The sequence below is a fragment of the Homo sapiens genome, chromosome 12 (genome assembly GCF_000001405.40).
Source record: "Homo sapiens chromosome 12, GRCh38.p14 Primary Assembly".
In the NCBI taxonomy this organism is placed as follows: domain Eukaryota; kingdom Metazoa; phylum Chordata; class Mammalia; order Primates; family Hominidae; genus Homo; species Homo sapiens.
This window is the reverse complement of record NC_000012.12, coordinates 115,589,396-115,615,900: the sequence shown is the minus strand read 5'-3', so window position 1 is coordinate 115,615,900 and position 26,505 is coordinate 115,589,396. Positions and strand designations below refer to the sequence as shown.

The following is a 26,505-nucleotide window of genomic DNA, read 5'->3' as shown; positions in this document are numbered from 1 at the left end:
GATCCCTTGAACCTAGGAGGTCGAGGTTGCAGTGAGCTATTGCATTCCAGCCTGGTGACAGACACTGTTTCACACACACACACACACACACACACACACACACACACACACACACACACACATTTTAAAAAGCTGTATAATTTCACATCAAAACAAAGGGTCGCAATTTACTAAAAAGTGCAAAGCAGAAGGTAGAAGTTCTAGTTAATAAGTTTTACCTAAATGTCCTGAAAACTAGTGATTTTTTTTTCAGAAAGCTATTTTTGTGTTTATAGTTTAAATACCTGGGTTTGAACTCAGGATGGGTCCCTTACTTGCTGTGTGACCTTGGCAAGTCACTGCAACTCTCTGAGCCACAGTTTCCTCTCTGTAATTGGAAGCAATAATGCCTTCTTCTTGGAGATGTTGTGAAGAGTAATTAAGATATGTGCTCCAGGACGGAACCTGTATCTAGGCAATTTTTAAAAACCGAATGCATTTTATACATACATTTCTAGGTTTATCATATTTGTATATTATTTACAATATATAAATGTATTTTTTCAAAAATATATAACCAGCACTGTGATTTCACTGATGTTATTACTTAATGTGAGGCTAAAGAAAAAAATACTGATATTTCAGGTGATACATGAATATTGTGAAAATGGAAAGGTAGATGCATCGCCAGCCAAGGTTTGGGAGCACCAAGATCACGGATGCAAATGCGTTCAGCAACTGTGGGTGCTCAGTGGGTGCTCCAGAAATGCTGGTTGAATGCGTGTCTTTGGAGAAAGCATCAGGAAGAGGGGCCCTGGCTGCTTTTCAGTGGACTTCTGCCGTATCTCTGCCCTCAGCTCCCTCCCCTCTTTTTCCCTTCCCTCCCCTCCCCTCTCTCCAGTCTTTACAAGTTTATCAAGACTACTCTGCCCCCATCAGGGCTCTGGGCAGGTCCCTGAAGAAGATTAAAGAAGATGAATATTTCATAGCCCTTGACTGACAACTCCTGAGGACCTGTTGTGGGTCTGGCGCCCACATCTAGTTAAGGAAGGGGGACAGGCAGAGGGGAGGGGGAGGAAAAGCCCATAGACTGAGCCATTGATCCGCTGGGTCCAATCTGCACTGATGAAACGCTCAGCTCCCAGCTCCCAAGCCAAAGGCAGCAAGTAATGGGTTTTAAGAGGCACAGGGCCAGTGGTAGCCCAGCCACCCAGCCCCCTTGGGGCCCACAGAGGCACCACCAGGCCCCCAAAGACCCATTTCTCTGTCTCCAGCTGTGGTCCCTCTGTCCTCATGGTGCCAGCCCTGTCCTTTTAACAAGCTGAACTCATTGTTTCCGACGCCTCCAACTCATTACCCCATTAAGGCCTGACGCCAGGCTCCATTCACCAGGGGACCCAGATGACAGGGTGGCAAGGCGCCTCTCCGTCTGGGGACTCTGAGGTGGTGGGCAAAGACCCCAGGTAGCCTCGGAGTAATCCCGTGGAGGCAACTGTGACAACGTGGAATTCTCCCTTCCATCTACTCCTTGGACACTGAGACTGGGGATAGAAGCAGTCCTGCTGACAAGGCTGAAATGTGGATTATTACTTTTCTTACCCCAGCTGTTCCTACATCCAAAGCTACTGACGCCACTTAACCCCACCTCTCAATGGAGGTGATGGATATTGAGGATGCCTTCTAGTATCTTGCTCTAGCAGGGAAAAAAGAACTTGTCTGGTGCTCCAGGGTTTTAAATGACTCAGTGCCAATAAAATGCAAGCAGGGGCATTGCACTTCGGGCTGTTAAGAGTGTGACCTGGTGCGTTAATTTCCTGTGGCTGCTGTTATTAATAACAATTTTCTACAAATTTAGTGGCTCAAAGCAACATGCAATGATTATCTTGCGGTTCTAGAGGACAGAAGTCTAAAATGGGTGTCACTGGGTTAAAACCAAGGTGTCAGCAGGGCCGCTTTCCTTCTGGAAGCTCTAGAGGAGAATCCATTCCTTGCCTTTTCCAGTTTCTAGAGGCAGCCTGCATGCCTCTGCTTGTGGCCCCGTCCTCCACCTTCAAGGCCAGCAGCGCAGCATCCTCACCTCTCTCTCTGGTTTTATGGTCACACCTCCTTCTCTGACTTTTTGATGGACCCTTGCAATTTCATGGGGATAATCCAGGGTAATTGCCCCATTTTAAGATCCTTGACTTAATCATATCTGCAAAATCTCTTTCGCCATATGACCTAGTGTATGCACATGTTGCCTGGATGAGGATGCAGACATTTTTGGAGGGCCATGATTTGGCCTATCGCTCATGGCCTTGAATAGACTTTCTCTGACTCTGTTACTTGCTAATAACTCTATGACCTTTAGTAAGAACTCCATCTCTCTGAGGTTCAGCCTCTGCAAACTGGGGGCTATAAGAGATGGCTTCTTGGGTCACTGGCAGATGAAATAATATAAATGAAAGATCTGGCATTTCTAGGTGACTTAATGTTCGATGAGTATTTGTTATTTGGTGGGCACTGGTAATCTAACCCGAACAAGGTAGCCATTCCCTGCCCTGGGATGGAGTTACAGACTTATGGTTTTAATCAGAGTGAGCTTTCTAATCTTTAAATTTTTACCACGCAAGCTTTTGTCCAAAAAGGTCAGTCGAGTTTATGGGCATTGCTCAGACTGAAGAGTGGATGGGGGACCTGTTGGCCTGGCACTGCCCCCATCCCCCAATTCCCTCACCAAACCCTTGGTGGTACCCATCGTGAAGCCATGGAACTAGTCGTTTCTGAGGCTCAGCTTTCTCATGTATAAAATAGGTATGATACGGCCTCCCTTGCAGGATTGCTGAGAGAGCCAGAAGTAAACCATGTAGAGTTCCTGACATTATGCATAGAGTAAGTGCATGATGTCTGGGACAAGGTGCTGTTGGTACCTTTACAAGGTCTCTTTCCCTTGATGCTGACCCTGACTCTGACTCTTGAGAGTTTTTCTCAAACCTGGAACCAGCAGATGGGTTGTGGAAGCTGTAGACTGAACCAAGAAAACTACACATTTGGGTCTTCCTTCTCAAACTCCATTGGGGTTTGTCTTAAAGTCCCTTAACATCTGACTTCTCCAGAAGCCACCCTGGCTTTGCATTGTGGTGCGGTGAATGCCAAACCTCCAAGTCCCTGAACCTGGAGCAAAGAAAAAGATGGATCTGGAGAGAAAAGTACTTGTCTTCCTTGAGGAGCAAGACTTGAGTTCCATAGTAAGAGGGTATAAGGTTTTCCTTCATTCAGTCCTGGAAGGACATGAACGAAAATGAACACGGTGGTCTTCCACCATTCCCACCACAGGGATGTCCTTGGGTTGCCACCACCTCTCAGTGTGGTTCAGGGGAGAAGGTCTTGGACTGGGAAGCTGGCTGCCTGCATGCAAACCTCTGCTCTGGGCTTCCTGGCTGTGTATCCTTGGGCAAGTAACATCCCCTCTCTGAGCCTGAGGTTTGTGGTTGCAACAGGTAGAAAGATCCCCTGGAATAAATAATGAATACAAGGGCTTAGCTCAGTATCTGACTTCCATCAATTATATTCAATAATTATAAGCAATTACTTATTATTAGCCATTAAGCAGAGAAAGCATGAAAAGTAAAAAATGACTTTAGGTAGCACCCAGTGCTAAAGAAATACAATGGTTTCTTTTCAGTGATGCATTGCACAGAGAGCAAACACAGCTTGAATCCTAACTTGCACATAGAAGACAGAACTCCCAACCTTTCCATCTTTGACTCTCCCAGAACCACCTGGATCCTCAGGTTAGAGACACTTAAGGAAGCCCAGAAGGGGAAAGCTGAGTCCAGCCCCAGCCCTGCTTTTCTTGCCAGGCCATCAGTCTTGGGCTTATCTGTGCTGTGGATGGGAGGCAGTGACAATTGGAGTGTACTTGTCCTCTGGCCCTAAGCTCTTGCCTATGTCCAGGTGACTCCTGACCTCTGTGGGTACTGCAGGGCATTAGAAGGAATGGAGAAAGAAAAGAAGAAAATATAGAATTGGAGCAGCCTGTAAGTTATTGGATAACATCACCTATTTAATGTCAATTAGTGTTTTTAACAACCAATTGCTGTGCCATTAACTTACAATAGCAACCTTGGGGGCATGCCAGCATGCTCCCGCAGACTAGCCTGGGCAGCCAGTTGGTGCTGGGTGTGCAAAGCAGACTCAGATTGCAGACTGATTGCAAGTTGGCATTGCTTGAGCAGGGTGCAGGTGGCCAGGGAGCAGGGAAGAGGGTGCCCGAGGAGCAAGGCATTTCACTAAGTGGATATTTATAGCAGGGCTCCTGGAATAAATGATCCAAGGAGAGGGCAGGAGGGGTGAGCTTGCTGGAGGTTGGCCAAGTCTTGGGTGCTGGATCCTGCCAAGCTGCAATCGCAGTGGCTCGCTTCGCTCCAGAAGCCTGGCTGCCCAGTGGTGGGGAAGATGGGGAATGCTTGTTAGGGTATCAGGTGGGGGCAGCTTCACTTCTCCACTCTTACACTCTTACATATGGACCTTGAATCAATTGTGAATTGTTCATTATCTGTGGCCTTTCATTTCCTTAATGTTAAAATGTCACGATGGTCCAATAGATAGTGAGCACCATGAACATCATTTGTGTGTCTTTTAAAATTTTTATTCTTTGTAGAGACAGGGTCTCACTATGTTACCCAGACAGGTCTTGAACTCTCAAGCTTAAGCAATCTTCCCACCTCAGCCTCCTGGAGCAGCTGAGACTACGGGTGCAAGCCACCATTTCCTGCTAGTTTTTCTATTTTTTGGTAGATATCAGGTCTCACTCTGTTGCCCAGGCTCATTTCAAACTCTTAGCCTCAAGCAATCCTCCTGCCTCAGCCTCCCAAAGTGCTGGGATTATAGGTTTCAGACACTGCACCTGGCCATTCACTGACTCTGGTGGCCACCCTCAAAGATGTCCCTCAATAATACCATCTTCTGGTATCCATGTCCTCATGAAGTCCCTTCCCACACAGAGTAGGGCTGATCTGGGTCACCAATAGGATATTGTGGAAATTATCTTGGTACCTGCTGATCCTGAGTCACAAAAGACACTGTGGCTTCAACCTGCCCTCCCTTGGGTCACATGCTACTATGGTTTGGATCTAGTTCATCCCCACCACATCTCATGTTGAAATTTGGTCCCCATTGTAGCGGTGTTGGAGGTGGGGCTTAGGGGGAGATATTTGGATCACGAGGAGGGATTCCTCGTGAATGGCTTGATACTGTTCTTGCAGTGGTGACTGAGTTTATGCTCTGGTGAGACTGGATTAGTTCTCTTGGGAATGGATTCATTTATAAGAGAGTGGGTATTTTTAAAGCCAGGATGCTCCTTGGGTTTGGGTTCTCTTTGCACGTTCCCACTTTCCCTTTGACCTTCTCTGCCATGTTTTGATGTAACATCAAAGCCCTCACCAGCAGCTGAGTGGATACTGCACCATGCTTCTTGTGCAGCCTTCAAAGCTGTGTGCCAAAAAATCATCTTTTGTTTATAAATTACCCAGCCTCGGTTATTCCTTTATAGCAACACAAAATGGACTAAGAGATTTTCTCTGAGGTAAGCCAGATGCCATATTTTGAGGACGCTCAAGCAACCCTAGTGAGAAGTCCACTTATGAGGAACTGAGGCCTCCCGCCATCAGCTAGCATCACCTTGTCCACCATGAGAGTGTCCCATGGTGGAAGCCAATCCCCCAGATCCAACCTTCAGAGGACCGCAACCCTGGCTGATATTTTGACTGCCACCTCCTGAAAGATCCTGAGCCAGAATTGCTCAGCTAAGCAACTCCTGAGTTCCTAGTCCACAGAGATAATGTGAGAAAATAAATGGCTATTATTTTAAGCCACTAAGTCTTGGGAATATCTGCTTTGCAACAATAGAGAACTAATTCACTAACCTGTTATCGGCTCCTAGCCCAATGTTTGGCATGGTGGACATCTAATAAATAGCTGTTTGTGCATGAGCACATAATATTATTCCATAAGGTTGCTTTGTAGGTTAAATGAGATAATCGATGGAGGCCCTCAGCATAGTGCCTGGTGCTGAGCAAGAGCTCAGTAAATAACCACCCCTGGCATCATTGTTATCTTCATCATTACCAGCATTAGTTGTCCATGTTGCCAGAGGCAGGCAGAGTCTCTGGTATTTGACTCTCAGAGTTTAAGCAGTGTCTGAAGAAGAAAGATAAAGAGAGAAGCAGGAAATGATCAGGGAGGGAAGATTGAGGGAAAAAGACAAAGACTGATAAAAAAGAGAAGAAAGTATAAGAGAAGTGCTTACAGATGGCCTGTGGAGTCAGGAAACCTGGATCCCTGCTCTCACTCTGCCCTAACCACTGCGAGTCATCAAGCAAGCCCTGTTGGCTCTCTGGACTCATTTCAAATGGAGTTAACATCCTTTGTCCATCCTCCTAGGGTAGTATAGTAGAAAAAATTAGAAGGGGTGGGTTCTGGTTCTCATTTTGCTATTACTTGGCTTTGGCAAGTTATATCATCTTCTGAACCTATTAAGCATATTGTGAAATAAAGGGTTTGGACTCAACAAGGAACCTTTCCAGCTCCAGAATCCAATAGCAGACTGATTTTTGCACATGGCATTTCTGAACATGAGGTGCTGAAGTGAAGATTTTGCTTGGAGAGGGAAAATAGAGTGGATATTGGCAGAAGGGGGATGCAACCCATAGTCTGAGTACCCCTCAGGGTCTGAAATCACTCCTAGTACTCTGAGCCCTTCATGTTGGAATCCAGACAGAGGGACATAATCTCTAGAAACATTTTGTTCATGTGGGTTGTATATGGCTAGATTCCATTTCAGTTCATTAGTTCCCATGCCATACTGGTTGTTAAAGATTTTGCTTATCACGCACTGCCCAGAAGAGAAAGTTTAGGAGACGTATTCTCTCCCCCCATCCACTTCTCTCTGGCTTCTCCATCCATTGCTAATGTAGACAACTCTACATATTTAGAATTTATTGGCTCAAGAAGGAGTTATGAAGTGCCTCCTCTGGGCAGGACCCTGGGCATTTAATGGCAACCAAGATAGACACAACCAGTGCCACTGTTGTGTTTGAGGTGCGTGTGTGTTCAATTTCTGATTCTTTTCCTTATCTTCCTTAGTTGGATATTTGTATATATTCTTTCCTTCCCTCTCTCTTTCTTCTCCTCTTCTTCCTTTATTTTTAGAAATCCCATCTCGTGAAATTGATAGCCAAAGGACGGATCTTCAAGGCAGCTTGTAGTTTTGCAGGGAGAGGTTTTCATCATCACGAGTACTGCAAATGGCAGTGTTATGGGAGTGACTGTCAGGCAATCTGGAAGTTGGGAGTCAGGGAGAATCTCCCCAGGAAGGAGGTGTTGCAGCAGAGACCTCCAAGGCCCTGGAATTTGGAGGATGGTCTCTGTGCCAAGGCAGCTTCACCATAGCGGTTAATAGTTCAGAAGAACAGAAAATCATGGCAGGGCTGCAAGCAGCTTGAATGAGGTGGCTGAGTCCAAGAAATTCAAGGTCACAGAGTAAGCTGATGGCTCAGAGTCTGGACTATTTCAGATGCAAAAAACAAAAGCCTCCTCAGGTTACCCTGGGCCCTAAAGGGGATTTATTGAACACACATATTCAGGAGTCCAGAGTGGGGCTTACCTCAGAAGCTGTAGGGACCCAAAGGGTGGCCCATGTTCTCCCTATCTCCTTATTCCTGGGTTTGGCTTTCTTCTGTGTTTTTCCTTTTCTCTCTACCAGAAGATGGGCCTTCTATCCATTTGTGGACCATTCAGCCAGGTGGAGAAGTGACTGGCTACAGGAATCCCAGGCTCCACATATTCCAGCCTACTTGGCCACACAGCATACAAAATCCTAGGGAAGGATTCTAATTGTCTGGCTTGAGTCATCCAATCAGAGGTCAGGGTGATGGTCCCATCAGAACCACTTGGAGTGAGTGAGCAGGAGTAGCCTCAAAGAAGGGGGGGGCACTTTTACCAGAATAACAGGGGAAGTGAGGCTGGAATGACAAAAACAACCGCTGTCTACTCTACAGAAACCACCAAGTTTAATACTCACTCTAGTTATAGTACTTGATCAATTAACATGATTACTTCTTTGACCCTCTCCTAAACATCAAAACTCCTAACAATTTGGTCAAGTTAGAATGCCATTGGCCGAGCGCCGTGGCTCACGTCTGTAATCCCAGAACTTTGGGAGGCCAAGGCTGGTGGATCACCTGAGGTCAGGAGTTCGAGACTAGCCAAGCCAATATTTGAAACCTTGTCTCTACTAAAAATACAAAAATTAGCCAGGTATGGTGGCACATGCCTATAGTCCTAGCTACTTGGGAGGCTGAGGAAGGAGAATCGCTTGAACCTGGGAGGCAGAGATTGCAGTGAGCTGAGACTGCACTACTGCACTCCAGCCTGGGTGACAGAACAAGACTCCATCTCAAAAACAAACAACAAAAAGACTGCCATTGTTGTGTTTGAGGTGTGTGTGTGTTCAATTTCTGATTCAGGCAGATGTTCTAAAGAGGAAACCTATTTCTAGCTATTCTTCTATTCTTTATCTTTTCTTTTTTTTCCTTCTCTTTTTTTTTTTTTTTTTTTTTTTTTTTTTTTGAGACAGAGTCTCATTCACTCTGTCATCCAGGCTGGAGTTCAGTGGTACGATCTCGGCTCACTGCAGCCTCTGGCTCCCAGGTTCAAATGATTCTCCTGCCTTAGCCTCCTGAGTAGCTGGGATTACAAGCGTGTGCCACCACACCTGGCTAATTTTTGTATTTTTAGTAGAGACAGGGTTTCTCCACGTAGCCCAGGTTGATCTTGAACTCCTGACCTCAGGTGATCCGCCTGCCTTGGCCTCCCAAAGTGTTGTATGTAATACACGCTTGTAGGCGTGAGCCATGGCGCCCAGCCAAGGAAAGCTATTTCTTAAGCTGGATAATGGGTTTATGGGTGCTTCTGAAACTGAAATTTGCATACCATTTATCTAGGGGTGTTATTAAAATGTAGATTCTGGTTCAGCGGGTCTCGGGTGGGGTCCTGAGATCCTACATTTCTGGCAAGCTCCCAGGTAACGCTGATATTACCTGTGCATGAACCACACTTAGCAAGGCTTTATATTAATCTAACTTTCAGACTAGGGAGGGAGAATAGGAAGAAAGATGGCTGTTTTAATAGAATCGAGTCAATATACAATCTCAGACTTGATGAAAAATTTAGAGATCATTTTTCTCTCCAGAAGCTCTTGCCCAGTTTTTGATGAGCGGGAGACACTTCCTCTGTGTCTGCATTGACTACACGGGGACCTCCGCACCTCCCATGGGCATCTAATTCTAATCGGGTGAATCTGGATGAATTTGAGAGTGGGGCAATAACGTGGCGATGAAAGGACACCACGAAAGAGTTAAACCTTCTAGGAAGCAGAGTCCAACAGGCCCAGCCAAATGCAGAAGGGGTTGACCTGGCTCCAAGGGTTAATACTATTTTGTTTTCCAGGACTATTTGTTATATCAGGTTAGTGCAGGCAGAAGGTCATGGGGGTCAGCGGCCCCCCTCGCCATCCCCCTCCTCTCTCCCCTTCCCCCTGTCTCCTCCATTTGCAGCCTCATTGCCTCCTTTAATCGGATGACCCCAGACACTGAGCTTTCCTTGGGATTTTCTTGCCAGCGCCTTCAGACTCGTTGCAGCCGTTGCAGCCGACGCCAGCCGTCTCTCTCGCCCCGGCCCTCAGAGGCAGGCGCGCAAGCTAAAAGGCACTTTGCGAGAGGGGGAACCGTCCATTGCAATTTGTGCTGCGGTTTCTCTGGACAAGAGAGGATCAAGAAAAGGGTCCTTTGTCTTCTTTCGCCTTTTCTTTTCTTCTTCATCTTCCCTTTATTTCTCTTTGTATAAAATTGGTTTCCTCTCTTGGGTCCTTTGTCTTCTTTCGCCTTTTCTTTTCTTCTTCATCTTCCCTTTACTTCTCTTTGTATAAAATTGGTTTCCTCTCTTTTCCTCCTTTTGGTCATGTTTCTTTTCCTTATCTTCCATATTTGGATATTTGTATATATTCTTTCCTTTCCTCTCTCTTCTCCTCTTCTTCCTTTATTTTTAGAAATTCCATCTCGTGAAATTGATAGCAAAAGGACGGATCTTCAAGGCAGCTTCGTCAAGTTTCATTCCCAACCTGAAGAGGGTTCAAATCCCTGACAAATTAGAATAGGACTCTAGCAGCAGCGTTCTTTAACCACACTGAGCCTCAATTTACTGATTACAAAATGAAGTTAAGAATCTCAACCTAATGGGCTGTCAAAGTTAGCCAGAAAGCATATATAAAGCACAGAGTCTGGTATACATGGGTGCCCAATAAATGTTAGTCTTTTCATACCCTTAAGCCTTTTCCTTTTCCTCTCTGCTGTTCCTTTTTTTCCTTTAGCTATGTTGCTTTTAATAACTTTCTTTTACATTTCTGGAAAATTATCTACAGGTGGAGAATCTCTATGCAGAAAGTATGATGGTGGTGTAACAGGGACCTGGGTTTGCCACTTAATCGCTGCACAGCCTTGGGCAAGTTGATTGAAATTCTCTAAACCCCAATCTCCTCTTCTGCAAAATGGAATAGGATTTCTTTCCCTCTGGTGCAGTGGTAAGGATTAGATGACATCATGATCCTGGAAAAGGTGCTTCCCAGCACCTGGGAAGGACTGCTGATCATGTTGTCTTAGGTCACTGAGCACTAAAGGTGGCACCTATCACTGAGCCCCGTGGCCACTACTTAGTCTCTCTCCTGTCACTCACTCCCTCTCAGTCAGACTTTTATTTCTACTGTAACAGAGTGCACTATCAGTGCTCGCGTGGACAGGTTAAACTGTTAGTACTCATCCCTCTGCTGAGCCATTTGTTCATCCATCTATACACCCATCCATCTATGCATTGCCCACCCATCCATCATCTATCTGTCCATTTATCCATTGTCCATCCATCTATTCTTCATCCATACATCCATTCGTACATCCATCTACCCATACAATCATCCATTTACTTACTCAATCACCCACCTGTCCATCCATTTGCCCATCATCACAGTCACCCACCCACTTATACCTCTATCTCAGTTTTGCACTTATTCATTCATTACTCCACCTGGCTACCACCCATCCTATCCCATCCCAGCCCATCCATGTTTGTCATCCCATTCATCCATCCATTCATCCCATACTTCCCCATTGTATTCAAGCTCACATTTATCTACCCATTCCATCTATTCATCCATCCATCCATCCACCCATCCATCCACCCATCCATCCACCACCTTCCCGTCTATCCATCCATCCACCCACCTACCCACCCACCTATCCATTCATTCACACTTCCATTTACTCATCAATTTGTCACTTATTTACCTATGCATCCATTCATTTATTCAGACTGGTTGCATAATAAATAAGATTGGCCTAAATTATACCTTATCATAAAATTCTACTAGAAATTTCTAGAAACAGAAGAAAGAAACAACAATAACCACAACAGCAACATGATTTTGGAGCCATAGGGCCTTCTATTCAGTCTCCTCATGGAGCAGGTGGGGAGGAGGAAAGGGGCTTTGCTCTTGAGCACAGGACACATGCAGTTGGGTAGCTTAATGGTTTTTAAACTGGGTCACAAGAATCCAAGGCTTCTGTGATTGTGTTAAAGGGGTTATTGACAGAAGGGCTGCTACTTCAAATAGAATGGCTCTCCACCCTGTCTTACTTTTATATGGTCTCTGTTTAAGATTTAATTTGAAAAAAAAAGTTACTTAGCTGTTATGGAAAATTTTTAAAGCACAAATATAGTCACACATTTTAGATACTAAAGAAAAGTTCAGAAAAATCTGTCTTTTACCTTGCCAACCATAGAATAAAGAGGTAATCTCTCACTCATGTAGTTTTTTTTTTTTTTTTTTTTTTTTTTGGAGTGCTTACCATAAGCCAGGTAGTGGGCTAACAATTAAATGGACCATCTCATTTAATCCAATAATGACTCAGTGGGGTTGGTATCATTATCTCCATTTTTCAGATGAGGAAACTGAGGCTGACAGACATCAAAGTACTTGCCCAAAGTCACACAGCAATTAGAACAGTGGAGTTAGGATTTGAACCTAGGAATTTTCTCCAAAATGCAGCCTGCCTGCAGTGGGAGGCTAATTACCCTCTAAGTTGTGGCCAAAGGGGCAATGGAGAAGAAATAGCAATAGGGCTTGTGTTCTTATGTCTTTCTTGGTTAGTTCTTCATTTCCTCTTTCAGCTTTTACAATGAACACCAGAGGGGATGATGAGACTCAAATACCCAACAAACTAACATTATAGATTCTTGGATTTAGAAAGGACTGAGGTTAGTGATTTTTAAACTGGGGTCACCAGAGACCAAATCTGTTCCCCAAGTTTCTTCAGAGGTTTCTACTGGACATGATCAGAAGTCACTGTGTCATGATGGATGTTAAACAGACCTGGCTTCATGTCTAGGGCTGGCCAGTTACTAATTCCGTGACCTTGTAGAAGCGACTTTCTTTCTTGAAGACTCAGCTTCCTCACTGGTAAAAGGCAGACAGAAATAATACTTATGTTATAGGGTTACTCTGAGAGTTAAATGAGAAAATGCGTCTTGAATGTTACATAGAGTTCCTGGCATATAGTGACTGCTCAGAATTTTAGCTATCGTCTTCACCATTGTCGTCATAATTATCATCATTTGTGGCTCCATGTGAGTAAGAACCTGCGTGACCTAATAGCACTAAAGCTAAAGAAATGGTCTGAAAACCAGTGACCTAAGACAACATGATCAGCAGTCCTTCCCAGATAATAATTATTTTTCCAGGATTTGTTTATAGGTCTTAAAGTGACTTTCAGGCCGGGTGCGGTGGCTCACACCTGTAACTCCAGCACTTTGGGAGGCCGAGGTGGGCAGATCACCTGAGGTCAGGAATTTGAGACCAACCTGCCCAGTATGGCGAAACCCCGTCTCTACTAAAAATACAAAAAATTAGCCGGGTGTGGTGGTGGGCGCCTGTAATCCCAGCTACTCGGAGACAGAGGGAGGAGAATCACTTGAACCCGTGAAGCGGAGGCTGCAGTGAGCCGAGATTTCGCCACTGCACTCCAGCCTGGGCAACAAGAGAGAAACTCCATCTCAAAAAAAACAAAACAAAAAACCCTCTGGTGTTAACCAATATCATTGCTATAGACTTAGAAAATTTCAAAGCTAATGGCTGGAACTGGGTTGGAGTCTTGTTGCCTTTTCTTGTTGGGAATGATCTGGGATTAAAAAAAATTTTTGAGTTTTCATTATTTCCCTAATTAAGAAGAGTGTGTGTATGAAAGAGAAGGGGATGAGGGAAGGAGGGAGGGAGGAAGAGGGGGACAAAGAGGGAGAGAAACTTGGAAAAGCCTTCAAACCTCTCTGAATATCATTCCCTTGTCTATAAAATGAGGCAAATACTTCCAAGTATGGTTCCACCACAGGCGCTGGAGAGAGAATAAAATTAGAAAAGACAATATTTGCTGAAGGAGTTCTATATACCAAACCACTGCTTTCAAACACATTGTCTCTGTCTATCTTCACTACAACCACAACTCCATGGAATAGCTATTATTACCCCAAATGACATGATGAGGAAGCTGAGGCTTGCACAGGCACAGTAGCCTGCCCAAGGACAGGTAGTTGGAAAGTACAATTCATTTGTTAATTCACCAACTATTTATTTGGTACTGCGGAATTCACGTCTCTGTGTATTTTAACTTCTGTCCCCAAGCAAACATATGCAGACACCAAAATACCAGTTTGAGATAAGAGTGGGCTTGGCTTTCGCACGTGTGACTGTCTTGTTAGATTATTATTATTGGTTGTGGTAGTAGAAATAGTAATAGTATTTATGTCAAAGATAGAGGTAAGCAAATATCTCTTTGAGCTTGTTTTCAGTATTAAATTATACCACTATTACGCTATAAATAACCACTTCTATATATTGAGCACTGGCCTGGTATATGTTCTTGATCTATGAGCTTTACGTGGTCACCTCACTTCCATTCTAAGCAAATAAGTCACTCTTTTATCTCCATTTTACAGATGAGAAACTTGAAGGAGTCAGTCCACAATAATTTCTGGAGCATCTACTTTGTACTACCTGCTGTTCTAGGCACTGTGGTTTCACTGGTAACAAGGACAGAACTACTGTCCCCAAGGAGTTATGTTCTAATTGGTGGATGGGAGGACACAGATTAGGAACACAGAAACAAATGAGGTAACTTCTGTCACTGGTAAGTGCTTTAGAAGAAGAAATAGGGTCATTACATAGAGGATGATTGCTTTAGGAGGTCAGAAAGGGAGGTGTCTCTGTGGAGGTAACATTTAGTTCAAATTTGAATAACGAGAAAGAGGCAGAGACCAGCAAAGGCTGCACATGCAGAGGTCCCAGGGCGGGCACAGAATGGATAGAGGTGGATTAATGGGTTTATGTCCCACAAGCTGTTCTCTGCACTTGAACTCAGGGCTGTTCCCATAACCAATATTCTGAACCATCCTATTCTACTGCCTGCCTGGATACTCCATCAACTGGGGAAGGCTGCAGGTAAACTATGACTCTGCTGCGTATTTTCAGGGAAGAATTGTCCAGAGCTGTCATTTCCCAGGAAGCCAGCCAATCTCTTAGGAAAATGCCAAGGATGCTTGTCCCAAGAGAAAGTTGCAAAACCAAGCCTTAGATACCTGTAGCTCTTGGTTGGCCAAAGGGTAAAACTCCAATGAGAGCTCATGTTCGTGTCCACTGTAAAGCAAGTGAAGTTGTCTCATCCTGGGGTAGCTGTTAAATGTCATGCTTGCCCTCCCCAAGAAGTCCAAATATAAGCTGTGCATTTACTATGCTCTGGATTGGGGAAGAAGGGGTTCTAGTATGTATAAGTTGGTACTTCCCAAACTTCAGTGTGCTCCCAAATCTCCTGGGGAATCTTGTGAAAATGCAGATTCCCATTCAGTAGGTCTGGGGCAGTATCTGAGATTCTGCACTTCTAAAAAGTTTCCAGATGAGCTGAAGTCACTGCTCACGGAGCATACTTTGAGCAGCAAGACTATACAATGCTGAGTATTTCAGAACGAAGAAGAAAGATTACAAAGCAGTGATTGTACCAGCCACTGCTGATGGAATATTTATTAATCACCAGATGGCTTTTCATTTTGCCCTCCTGATATGGGTTGGGCATTGCCATTATCCCTGTTTTACAAGTGAGCCAACTGAGGCACTAAGAAGTTAAGTGCCTTGTCCAGTGTCACCAGATGGATGAGAGGTGGAGCTCAGGCTGTCTGCCTTCCAAGTGCACCTCACCGCCTATGTCTCTTAGGCCCCCCACTTTCCACCTGGAGGATAGAGTTTCCAAGTGGGTCAGAAGCTGCTCTCCAAAGCTGGTTGGATTTCACAACTGGATTAATAGACTCCATGCTGTCTCATTTGAACTAGGCACACACCCAAAGATTTTAGGTTCACCTGTCAGGTGCAAGTGTTTCAGCGTATTCATTGCCAAGACAGAGTTTCTATGCCTTATAAGGAAGCATCCAGCATTGCCTTTGGAAGGATTTTAGGTGTCAAAGGAATCCCACCTGCGGGAATCTTGACAGGCTCAGCTAACCCCATTTTCCAAAGACCTCAAAACCCAGTGGTCTGGATGAATGAGAATAAATGTTTTGGGGGCAACATGAACCTGACACGCTCCGCGTTAGGTTCCCACCATTGTGGAAAACAGGTCAGTGGAAAGCACCAGATAATAAGTAACTCCAAAAAGGGATGATGGGCTAAGTACAGACTTCTATTTCTCAGGGCATTTGGCAGGGACCCTAACCTAGACCTGGACTGGGGGTTGTTGAGGGGGTGTCATGGATAAAACAACGTGCTCCCTGCCCGGGACAGCAAGGACGTTTGACCCCACTACTTATCCTCCCTGCTTGATTCCATCAGCTGCAGCCTGTTCCAGGGTTTATTCAGCACTGGCAAAGAAAGCAATGCCATTTTCTCAAATAACAAAGTATCAGTAGAGGTTGCCCCCTCACTGAATCTCCCCGACGGCAGGCACGAGTTTCCAACCCAGAAAGACATAGATTCAGAGGCAACTCAGAAGTATCAAGGATTCCCCTCTCCTCCTCCCTCCGACAACCGCTGCCACCCCCACCCTAAGCCCTCCCCACCCTTCCTCCCTCCGCCCCGCCCTCCTCCCCCCGGGAGACTGGAGGAACTTGGCAAGCCATCTCGTCGCCAATCAATCTGTGGTGTAACAATTAGCACTTAGGCACCACTCATGCTAAACACACGCTTAGAAAACACTTATAAAAAAAAAAAAGGAAGAAGAGTCATCAGAGGTAGAAGCCAGGGCAGCACCGGTGGGGGGACGCCAGGGAGCGGAGCCAGGAGGAGGCCTGGGGAGGAAACAGATCAATGCGCTGTGGAATGGAAAGCATCTGATACCCTATTATTGACGAGGCCAAAGCACTTTGAGGCGTGTTTCCACCGTGAGCAATTAGTCTGCGAGACCGCAGGAGTTAAGCTAACACTGGTAGCCCCCCCATCTTCCAGTTGGATGACACTTTCATTGGGTAGCGAGCCCCCGCAGCAGTGGCGCCAGCCTGCAGCCGTAATGGGGCCCATCCGCGGAAGGCCGAATGCTCCAGTCTCCCAGAAGGCCCCCCTCGCGCCCCCCACCCCGCCCCAGCTCCCCCCACCCCACTCCCGGTAACAGAATCCAGTCGACACAGAGTGTCTGCGCGCCTGTGAGCTGCCTAAATTGATTGTAATGGTTTTATCACGCGCAGAAAGAGCTGGCTGTTTTCTCGCCTCTGCTGTCGGCTTTCATAAACGCCCAGGCAGGAGGAAGTGATTCCTCTTCGGGAGCACTGGATCAGATGAAAGGCAACTTTTGTTTGTTGGCGAGCAACTCGCAGCCTCCGCCACTGCCTGTCTCCAACCCTGCTCTAGGCATCTTCGCTGGCTGTGCACACAACAGAGACTCAGACAGCGTCCCCCGACTCACCCCACCCAACAAACAGCAGGGGGTGGGGGACTTGTTTCTGGAGCCAGTTCTGGGTTCATCTCTGGAGGCTTCAGTGTCTGGGGTAGGGAGTTTCAAGGACGGATTGGGTAGAGAGAAGAGTAAATGAAGATGGCAATGATGATCAACAATGATAACAATGAAGATGAGGATAGCTAGCTAGCATTTCTGAGTGTTTATCCCCAACCAGGCAGTGTGTTTAAGCACATCGTAGATATTTCTTGGAATTCTTACAGCGATCTTATGAGACATTATTTCCCCCGTTTTGTAGTTAGGGGAATTGAGGCATAAAGAGGCATGTGAAATGGTCATGGTTATCCAGGGAGCAATGAGAGGAGTGAGGGAAATTAGAGCCCAGTTCTGATTCCTAATCTGGTTCATTCTCTATGCGCCATATCGCTTCTTTAAATTTGGTAGGGCGAAAAGACATGCTGTCATAATACCTCAGGTACTGGGTATTCCCCAAGGATTGCGGAAATTTGAACCTTCGAATAATTTAGGCTTAAAAGAATCTAGACCCAGCCAAAAAAATTGAAAGCTAAATGAAACACCCTTTGGTCCAGCCCCGCTTAAATATTCGCCAAGTTCTTTTTCATCACCTGGTCTCTAATCTCTCTGTTCCCTCAGCCTGGAATTCCAAACTCTACCCTAGATATGCTTGTGAGAACGCCTACACAGTCTTCAAACGTAACCTCTTCCTGGAAGCCTCTTTCTTCCTATCCCTTGCACCCTGTCTAGACTTCTATGGCCCCAGCAACATTCCTTTCCATTGTGTTTCTTTATTACCTATCTTCCCATTAATGTTAACTCACTGCGTATTTGTTGAGCTCTTACAGTATGCCAGTCTCCATATTAGGCTGAAAGCTCATTGGGACATGTTTTATTCATCTTCACATCCACAGTGCCTGGCCCATAGTCTGACCCCAGCAAATGTCAGTTTCATGAATGATGACCAAGATCATGGGCTAGCCCCCTGTTTTTGCAAATAAAGTTTTATTGGAACACAGCCACACTCATTCATTTATGTATTCCATAGCTGCTTTCATGCTACAGTGGCACACTTGAGTAGCTGTGACAGAGACTGCACGTTCTGCAAGCCTGCAATTTTACTACCTAGCTCTTTACTAAAATGTTTTCTGATGACTGATCAAGGGGATGATCAGATAATTTTCCAAACTTTTCATTTTGTTTTCTGTATGTAGCTAGCATACTATTGTTGAATAGCTACCTGTGCAGTTTCTACCCTCTAGTAAATTGATTGGAGACATGCATCTCATTTTGATGTCTCCCTGTGCCTATAACCTTTGGTAGTGCCCTACACAGTTTGTGGCTTGAGCATGTGACCTGTTTTGGACAATGGGGTGGTAACAAACTCACTTCAGACACTGGAAACTGTGTTTTGTTTTGTCGTTTTTTTTTTTTTTTTCTGCTAGTCACCACCATGACAACACCCTCTACTGGAAAGGTATGAGTCATCCCAGCTGAGGACATCCTAAACCAGCCAGCCCCCAGCCAACCTATCCGCTGACCACAGATGCATGAGTAAGACAGCTGTACCTAGCCCACATCAGTAGAACTAGACAACTTGTCTCTAGACAACTAGACAACTAGACTCAAGTAAGATGGTTGTTGCTTTGAGCCACCAAGTTCTGGGTTAGTTTGTTACACAGCAGTAACTAACATATGTATACTTAACGGGTGTACAATTTATGACTCCAAACCAGGTGTTTTAATGAATCACCTGCAGAAATGACCCAGGCATGCACCATGAAAACAAGAATTCCTTTGTGTGTTTTGGAGGTGGGTGAAGATGGAGTGTAGTCTATTGTTTTATAATTTTTTATAACTTTTTTTTGAGATGCGGTCTTGCTACGTTGCTCAGGCTAGTCTCAAACTCCTGATCTCAAGCAATCCTCCTGCCTCAGCCTCTTGAGTAGCTGGGACTACAGGCATGCTGTGCCTGGCACATTTATCTGTTCTTCCTACTTTGGAAACACCTCTGTATTTGGGGAAAGTGGTCAGAATCATTTAAAGAAGGTGAAATGCCAGTCTGCAGTAACAGTTTTCTGGCAATGTCAGGGAGTGATCCTGTGTTTTGCAGGAAGGACTAAGCCAAAGGATTTGATGCAACAGCTTTGGAAATTATCTGGATTTTACTGATCAGGGTATCCCTTAGCTGCACTGGCAAAAATAACCAAATCGGGATGTAACCATGAAATTATGTGTCCGCTGTGCTTGTTTCTAATGTTGTAGAGCATAGGTCTATAAAAAGCTACTGGAACATGCCATTCTTTGCATTTCAAAGCCTGGAATTTAACCAGCAGATAGTTTTCTATGTGTTCCTGAAGATTTCTTTTCTCTTCTTCTTCCCTCTGCTCCCCCGTTCTCTCTGTTCTTATCTTCTATTTCATGTTCTCAAGCTTCTCTGCATTTCTACACTGACTTTGGGGTAGGGTGTCATCTGTCTTTAGTACACCCAGCACAGTAGGAGAAACTGTGAGAAACACACTGAAGACAAATTCGTAATTTATTCCCCAACTAAAGGTGCTGACCCCTGCTTTTCATAAGGAAACACAATGGCTGTCATTAGCCCCTTGGTATTGGTGGGAATTTCCTGCCTACATTACATTCTGGATAAAATCTTTAAGGCTACAATCCAGGCACAAGCAGAAGAGATGGCATGAAGACGCTATGCTCCCAGCACCACTCCCCTGCAAAAAAGGGAATGTGACCAAGGTCAGAATGAACAGATGGTTTGGGAGGAGAAAGCCAGAACTCCTATTCCACCCTGGAGCAGGACTCAGGCCTAGGGTGATAGGTGGTAAAGTTATAATATTTCTCCAAGAGTAAAGTGGGAAGGATGAGCGTTGATAATCCCAAGGGCCCATGCACTCTACAATTCTAGCCTGGGAGGATTCAAAGTGGAGTCCACTGTGATGATGGAAGGGAAGCTGAATAGCATGCAGTTTAAAGAAGTGCAAATGGATGCGATTGTACCTGGCAAGTGAAGTCTTGAGTCTTTTATAAGGTGGTCCCTGAGTTGGTCAAGATATTACTCTCAGGGATGTTGGGAGCAGAGCTATCTCGGGAACAGGTCTGCAGTAGGGGAGGGGGTGAAGAATGCTGGCAGATGGTGTGGGTGAGCTGCATAGCAATTTGGAAGAGGACACATGTTTCCAACCCAGATCCCCCCTGAACCCTCCCATGGTCAGTGGGGTTCTATTTGAGCCAAAATGAGGCTCAAAGATTGGTTTAAGTAATGAACTTGCGAGCCCTTTCTATCCCATAAAACACATCCAGGCATTGCTAGAATGAATTAATGAGCATGTTTATTCATTTCCTAGGACTACCATAGCCAAGCACCACAGACTGGGTGACTTAAAACAAGAGAAATGGATACTCTTGCAGTTCTGAAGGCTAGAAGTTACAAATCAAGGTGTTAGCGGGGCCGTGTTCTCTCTGAAGGCTCTAGGAGAGAATGTGCTCCATGTCTTTCTCTTAGCATCTCCTGGTTGCTGGCAATCTTTGGCATTCCTTAGCTTGTAGATGCATCAGTCCAATCTCTGCCTCCATCATCATGTGGACCCTGTCCTGTGTGTCTTCACATTTTTCCCCTGTGCATGGCAGCCTCTGCCATTTCTCTTCCTCTTATTAAGGCACCCCCATCATATTGGAGCAGGGGCCACCCTGAGGACCTCATCTTAACTTGACTCCATCTGCAAAGACCCTATTTCCAAATACAATCACATGCACTGGTATGGGAGTTAAGACTTCAATGTATCTTTTTAGGGGACACAATTCAACCTGTGACAACATGAAAAAAATAAGCCTATCATGGAAGATATCTATGCATTGGCTTCTAGTGAGGAGTTAAGGAGATTTAAGGTGTTCCTTATCATACCCCCTTAAGCTGATTTAAGGTGTTCCTTATCATACCTGCTCACCTCTGAATGCAGCTGCAGCTGCCGGGCAGAGGTTCCTGCAAGCTCAGACTCAAATTGACAGTATGCTATCCAAGTGCGCACCATGGCCTCTGTGAAGCTGTAGGAAGCTGCCGAGGCCATGAGCAGGAGTCACTGGGGGTGACCCTCAACCAGTAGCAGGTGGAGTTAGGGTCTAAATGCCTCACCTTGATCCATCAACGGGACATTTCTGGGATGTATTCCGTACACTTCTCACAGCTTCCGACGGTATTTATATCCCATTGTCTACACAGCTGCTTCATATACGAAGTAGCCTCAGCCGGGTGTGGTGGCTCACACCTGTAATCCCAGCACTTTGGGAGGCTGCGGCAGGTGGATCAAGAGGTCAAGAGATCGAGACCATCCTGGCCAACATGGTGAAACCCCATCTCTACTAAAAATACAAAAATTAGCTAGGTGTGGTGGAGCATGCCTGTAGTCCCAGCTACTTGGGAGGCTGAGACAGGAGAATCGCTTGAACCGGGGAGGCAGAGGTGGCAGCGAGCTGAGATTGTGCCACTGCACTCCAGCTTGGTGACGGGGTGAGACTCTGTCAAAAAACAAAAAACAAACAAAAAAAAATAGCCTCATATTGGCTTTTCCTTCTTCCTTGGCTCACTCTGTCCATTCCCTTGCACCTGAGTCCCGAGGTCACCTTGACCTCCCCACTCCGACCCTCCCCCGCCATGTTACCCCCACCACCAATAAAACTACTTGTATCCAAGTCCTTGTTTCATGCTCAACTTCTGGCAGATTTCAAACTAAGCAGACAGAGGGGGGGAGAGAGAGAGAGAGAGAGAGAGAGAGAGAGAGAGAGAGATGGGAAATGGAGAAGATCAGAGATACTTGTTTTTAAATCTAGAGCCTAGCTCTGGCCCTTTAAAGAATGATAAGAACAAAACTATTTGCTATGTGCCAGCCATGGTGCTAAGCATAGTGTATGCACCATCTCTTATAATCCTACTGTCGTGGGTTGAACTGTGCTCCCCAAAATGATATGTCTACATCGTAACATCTACAATCTGTGAATGTGACATTATTTGTAAGAAGGGTCTTGCAGATACACAAAAAATCAAAATTAATAGATTTTGCTGTGGATGCAGTGGAAAGGGAATACTTCTACACTGCTGGCGGGAATGTAAACTAATACAAGAGCTATGGAAAACAGTATGGCAATTCCTTAAAGAACTAAAAATAGAACTACCCTTTGATCCAGCAATCCCACTACTGGGTATCTACTCAGAGGAAAAGAAGTCATTATATGAAAAAGATACTTGCACACACATGTTTATAGCAGCACAATTCACAATTGTAAAAATGTGGAACCAGCTCTAATGCTCATCAGTCAATGAGTGGGTAAAGAAACTGTTACATATATATGATAGAATACCACCATAGAAAGGAATGACTTAATGGCATTCTTAGTAACCTGGAGTAACCTAATCATATTCTCACTGATAAGTGGGAGCTAAGCTACAAGGATGCAAAGGCATAAGAATGACACAATGGACTGTGGGGATTCAGGGGAAAGGGTGGGAAGGTGGTGAGGGATAAAAGGCTACAAATTGGGTTTAGTTTTTCTGCTCGGGTGATGCGTGCACCAAAATCTCACAAATCACCACTAAAGAACCTACTCATGTAACCAAACACCACCTGTTCCCAATGGACTGGAAATAAAAAATATGGAAATTTTTTTTATGGAAAATAAAATATGGAAATAAAAAATAAATTAAAAATAAAATTTTTTAAGAAAGAAAGGTCTTGTAGATATAATTAAGAATCTCAAAGATGAGAACACACTAGATTATCAGGGTAGGCCCTAAGGGACAAGAGTCCTTGTAAGAGGCACGCAGAGGAGAGATACACGTGGAGGAAGGTGATGTGAAAATGGAGGCGCTCTTTCTCTTCAGTGAGGCGGCTGAGCTGCAGACTCAGAGATGCAGATCTTTATGAACACCCTCACGGGCAAGACCATCACTCTTGAGGTGGAGCCCAGTGACACCATTGAGAATGTCAAAGCTAAAATCCAAGACAAGGAGGGCATCCTGCCTGACCAGCAGTGTCTGATATTTGTGGGCAAACAGCTGGAGGATGGCCACAGTCTCTCAGACTAGAACATCCAGAAAGAGTCCACCCTTCACCTGGTGCTGCGCCTGTGAGGTGGCATTATTAAGCCTTCCCTCCATTGGCTTGCCCAGAAATACAACTGTGACAAGATGATCTGTGCCAGTGCTGTGCTCACCCCCGTGCTGTCAACTGCTGCAAGAAGAAATGCGGCCACGCCAACAACCTGTGCCCCAAGAAGAAGGTCAAATAAGGCTCTTCCTTCCCCACAGGGCCTCATGGCCCTGGGGATCAATAAAGTGTCCCTTTCATTGACTGGAGCAGAAAAAAAAAAAGAAAATGGAGGCAAAGTTTGGGGTAATGTGTCTATAAACCGAGGAGTTCCAAGGACTACTGTCACCACTGTCAGCCACCAGAAGGTAAGATGGGAGCAGGGAACAGATCCTCCCTGCCAGCCTTCAGAAGAAATGAGCACTGTGGACACTTCAGTTTCCCACTTCTGGCCTCCAGAACAATGAGAGAATGGATTTCGATTATTTTAAGCTATCCAGTGTGTGGTCATTTCTTGCAATAACCCTAGAGAATGAATACACCTACACAATTCTATAAGTTAATGATTACCGTATCAATATTCCACTTTACACATGTGGAAACTGAGGCATAGGGAGTTTAGTTAACATCTGAGTGGCCAGGAAAGAGTGGAAATCTGAATTTAAATCCACCTGTCTAGTGCAACGTCGTCCTCTTAATCATGCTCTAGACTGCCTTCCTGAGAGCCGACTGCATTTCTTCTGTGTAGAAGGAGAGTTAAGGGGAAATGAGAAGCAGTTTTTGTCATGGAGATTTGTATAAGACTAGGGTCCAGGCAGTTCTGTTTTAGGGCCCTGGGTGACAAAAGGCATGCACCATGGCTGGGTGCAGTGGCTCACACCTGTAATCCTAGCACTTTGGGAGGCTGAGGTGGGCAAATCACTTGAGGTCAGGAGTTTGAGACCAGCATGGCCAACATGGTGAAACCCCATCTCTACAAAAAATACGAAAATTAGCCAGGTGTGATGGCAGGTGCCTGTAGTGTCAGCTACTTGCAGGGCTGAGGTACAAGAATCGCTTGAACCCGGGAGGCGGACGTTGCAGTGAGCTGAGATCATGGCCCTGCACTCCAGCCTGGGTGACAGAGCAAGACTCTGACTCAAAACAAAACAAAACAAAACAACAATAACAACAACAAAAAAAAACAAAGCATGCACCAAGAAGATCATGAATAAACTTACTAAATGAGGGCTACCCCTGGCCAATCTAAGCAGTAACTAGGGAAGGTAAGGGCAGGTGAGTAGGAAATGATTCTGCAATTCCACAGGTAAGGGACATGAGTTAGAGACCTGTGGGTGTTTAAGTTAACATAACCTTCTTCGGATCTGGAGGCTGGAAAGTCCTGGGAAGGCTTGGAATGATTGTCACCAGCCAAATGAGTCTTTGTTATATAGAGACTCTGTAGGCCATATTTTAGAGAGAAAGGTCACAGAGTGGGTGGGAGGAGGCCTTGGAGAGTGAGGTAAGCTTAGAGGTGGAGAGAAGCCAAGAAGGAAGCAGGCAGGGGTCAGGATTAGAACTTGGAAACAAAGGGCAAGTCCAACTTCTCGTGGATAGTCACTGCACCCGGACACACAGTGACTCTGCAGCCAGGTGGATCCCAGCCAAGCCAGCTGGACTTGTGGGGCATAGGATATCCATGGCACTGCACAAGAATAAAGGGGATTGAGTTGTTAAGGGAAACTTTTAGATGAACTAGACGGTATGTCTTCCTCAAAGTTGATGTGAATAAATGGAGAATCAGAGCTCAAAGAGGAAAGCTGGCACCTTCAATCCCCAAATTAGAAGCGTCATGGATTCATTAAATGAGTATTATGTGCTGAGCTTGGCACCTGCTGCTGGAGTCTTTTTTTTTTTTTTTTCAGATGGAATCTTGCTCAGTTGCCGAGGCTGGAGTGCAGTGGCGCAATCTCGGCTCACTGCAACTTCTGCCTCCAGGGCTCAAGTGTTTCTCCTCCCTCAGCCTCCCAGGTAGCTGGGACTACAGGCATGTGCCACCAGGCCCAACTAATTTTTTGTATTATTCGTAGTGACGGGTCTTTGCCATGTTGGCCAGGCTGGCCTCAAACTCCTTATCGCAGGTGATCTGCCCACTTTGGCCTCCCAAAGTGCTGGGATTACAGGTGTGTGCCACCATGCCTGGCCAGGAGTCTTTTAAAATAAGAGAAATTAAGCATGTTTGAGGAGATGTTTGTTGTTTGACTGAGGAAATAAAGATTACATATGAAACTCTCTGGAGAAAATGGCACAAGGGTGCATATTCACAAACAGAATGATACATTTTAAATCTAACTTCCAAGGAAGATGAGAGAAGGTGGTAATAAGGTGGATATAGAAGATAGACTCTTACGTTGCAAAGAGAAGGCACCAAAGATTAACTTAAGTCCTAGCTGTTAAATACACATCACACATTACTATCTCTCCTCTCCTTCCATGACCCATGGCAGACATCACTGATCCATCATGGTACTCTTTCCTGTCCAGGCTTCATGTTTGCAGACACTGTACTGGACAGGCACTACCAGAAGTGGCATGAGAAGTGAAATCCCCTAACTCTCCTACCCTTAGGTCATGAGAGTTTATTTTATAAAAATGCAGGCAAGTATGAAAGCATAGGGAATAACACAGTGTTTCCAAGACTAGGCTATAGAGCAAGACTCATGGGAAACAAGACCAGTGTTTCACTTCCATTCTGGATCCAGCAGTAGTTCTAGTAACCTTGATTCACCCTGTATCTCCCTCAGAGAGAGAGGGAAAGAGAGAGAATCTGATGACGGAAATAATTTGTCATCAGCCAATATGGCATGACAGTGACTATCCTCAAGATAACTTATAGATGGCTGACTTTTATTATGAAGCCCTCTTTTCAATTACATTTACATTGAATGGCAACTCTTTAATCCAAGGGTCAGCAAACTTTAATGAAAAGGGCCAGAGAATAAAAATTTTCAGCTTTGCAGGCCATGCAGTCTCTGTCACAGTGACTCAGTTCCATTGTTGTAGCACAAAAGTAACCATAGATAATACACAAACCAATGAGTGTTGCTGTGTTCCAATAAAACTTTATTTACCCAAACAGGTGCCTGTGGCCTAAAGTTTCCAACTGTTTTAACCAATCGACTGTGGCCAGGGTAGTGGGATCACAGAATACAATAATGACATCATTATGCAGAAGGAACTGTGTTCTTCTCAGAAGAAGACCACATGCTTCATGCTCTGCAGGTGTTGAGTGTTTAGTGGACTCTCTGGGGTGGCACTGGAGTCAGTAGCTGGGGCTATGCTTGTCAGAAACAGGTTCTAAAAGGTATCTGGTGGTTTTTAGTAAACTAAATTGCATTTAGTTTTGATACTTTTTTTCTGATGTCTTCCTC

General features: G+C 45.1%; 2 long non-coding RNA genes and 1 pseudogene across 4 annotated transcripts in view; all 3 read left to right on the top strand.

The window, feature by feature from the left end:
• The window catches only part of LOC105370003 (uncharacterized), a 389,555-nt gene that overhangs the window by 147,165 nt on the left and 215,885 nt on the right, over window positions 1–26,505 (top strand). The gene's annotated exons all lie outside the window — the stretch shown is intronic.
• LOC105370002 (uncharacterized) overlaps window positions 1–26,505 on the top strand; it is a 59,593-nt gene that overhangs the window by 25,236 nt on the left and 7,852 nt on the right. Inside the window, exons 3-4 of one of the 2 annotated variants that reach the window (NR_188487.1) lie at window positions 14,056–14,246; window positions 18,452–18,560. This is a non-coding gene — a long non-coding RNA (uncharacterized LOC105370002). Of the gene's footprint in view, window positions 1–14,055; window positions 14,247–18,451; window positions 18,636–26,505 lie in introns of both variants that reach the window. The other variant, NR_188486.1, reaches the window with a different exon arrangement.
• On the top strand, window positions 22,878–23,371 carry UBA52P7 (ubiquitin A-52 residue ribosomal protein fusion product 1 pseudogene 7; annotated as a pseudogene).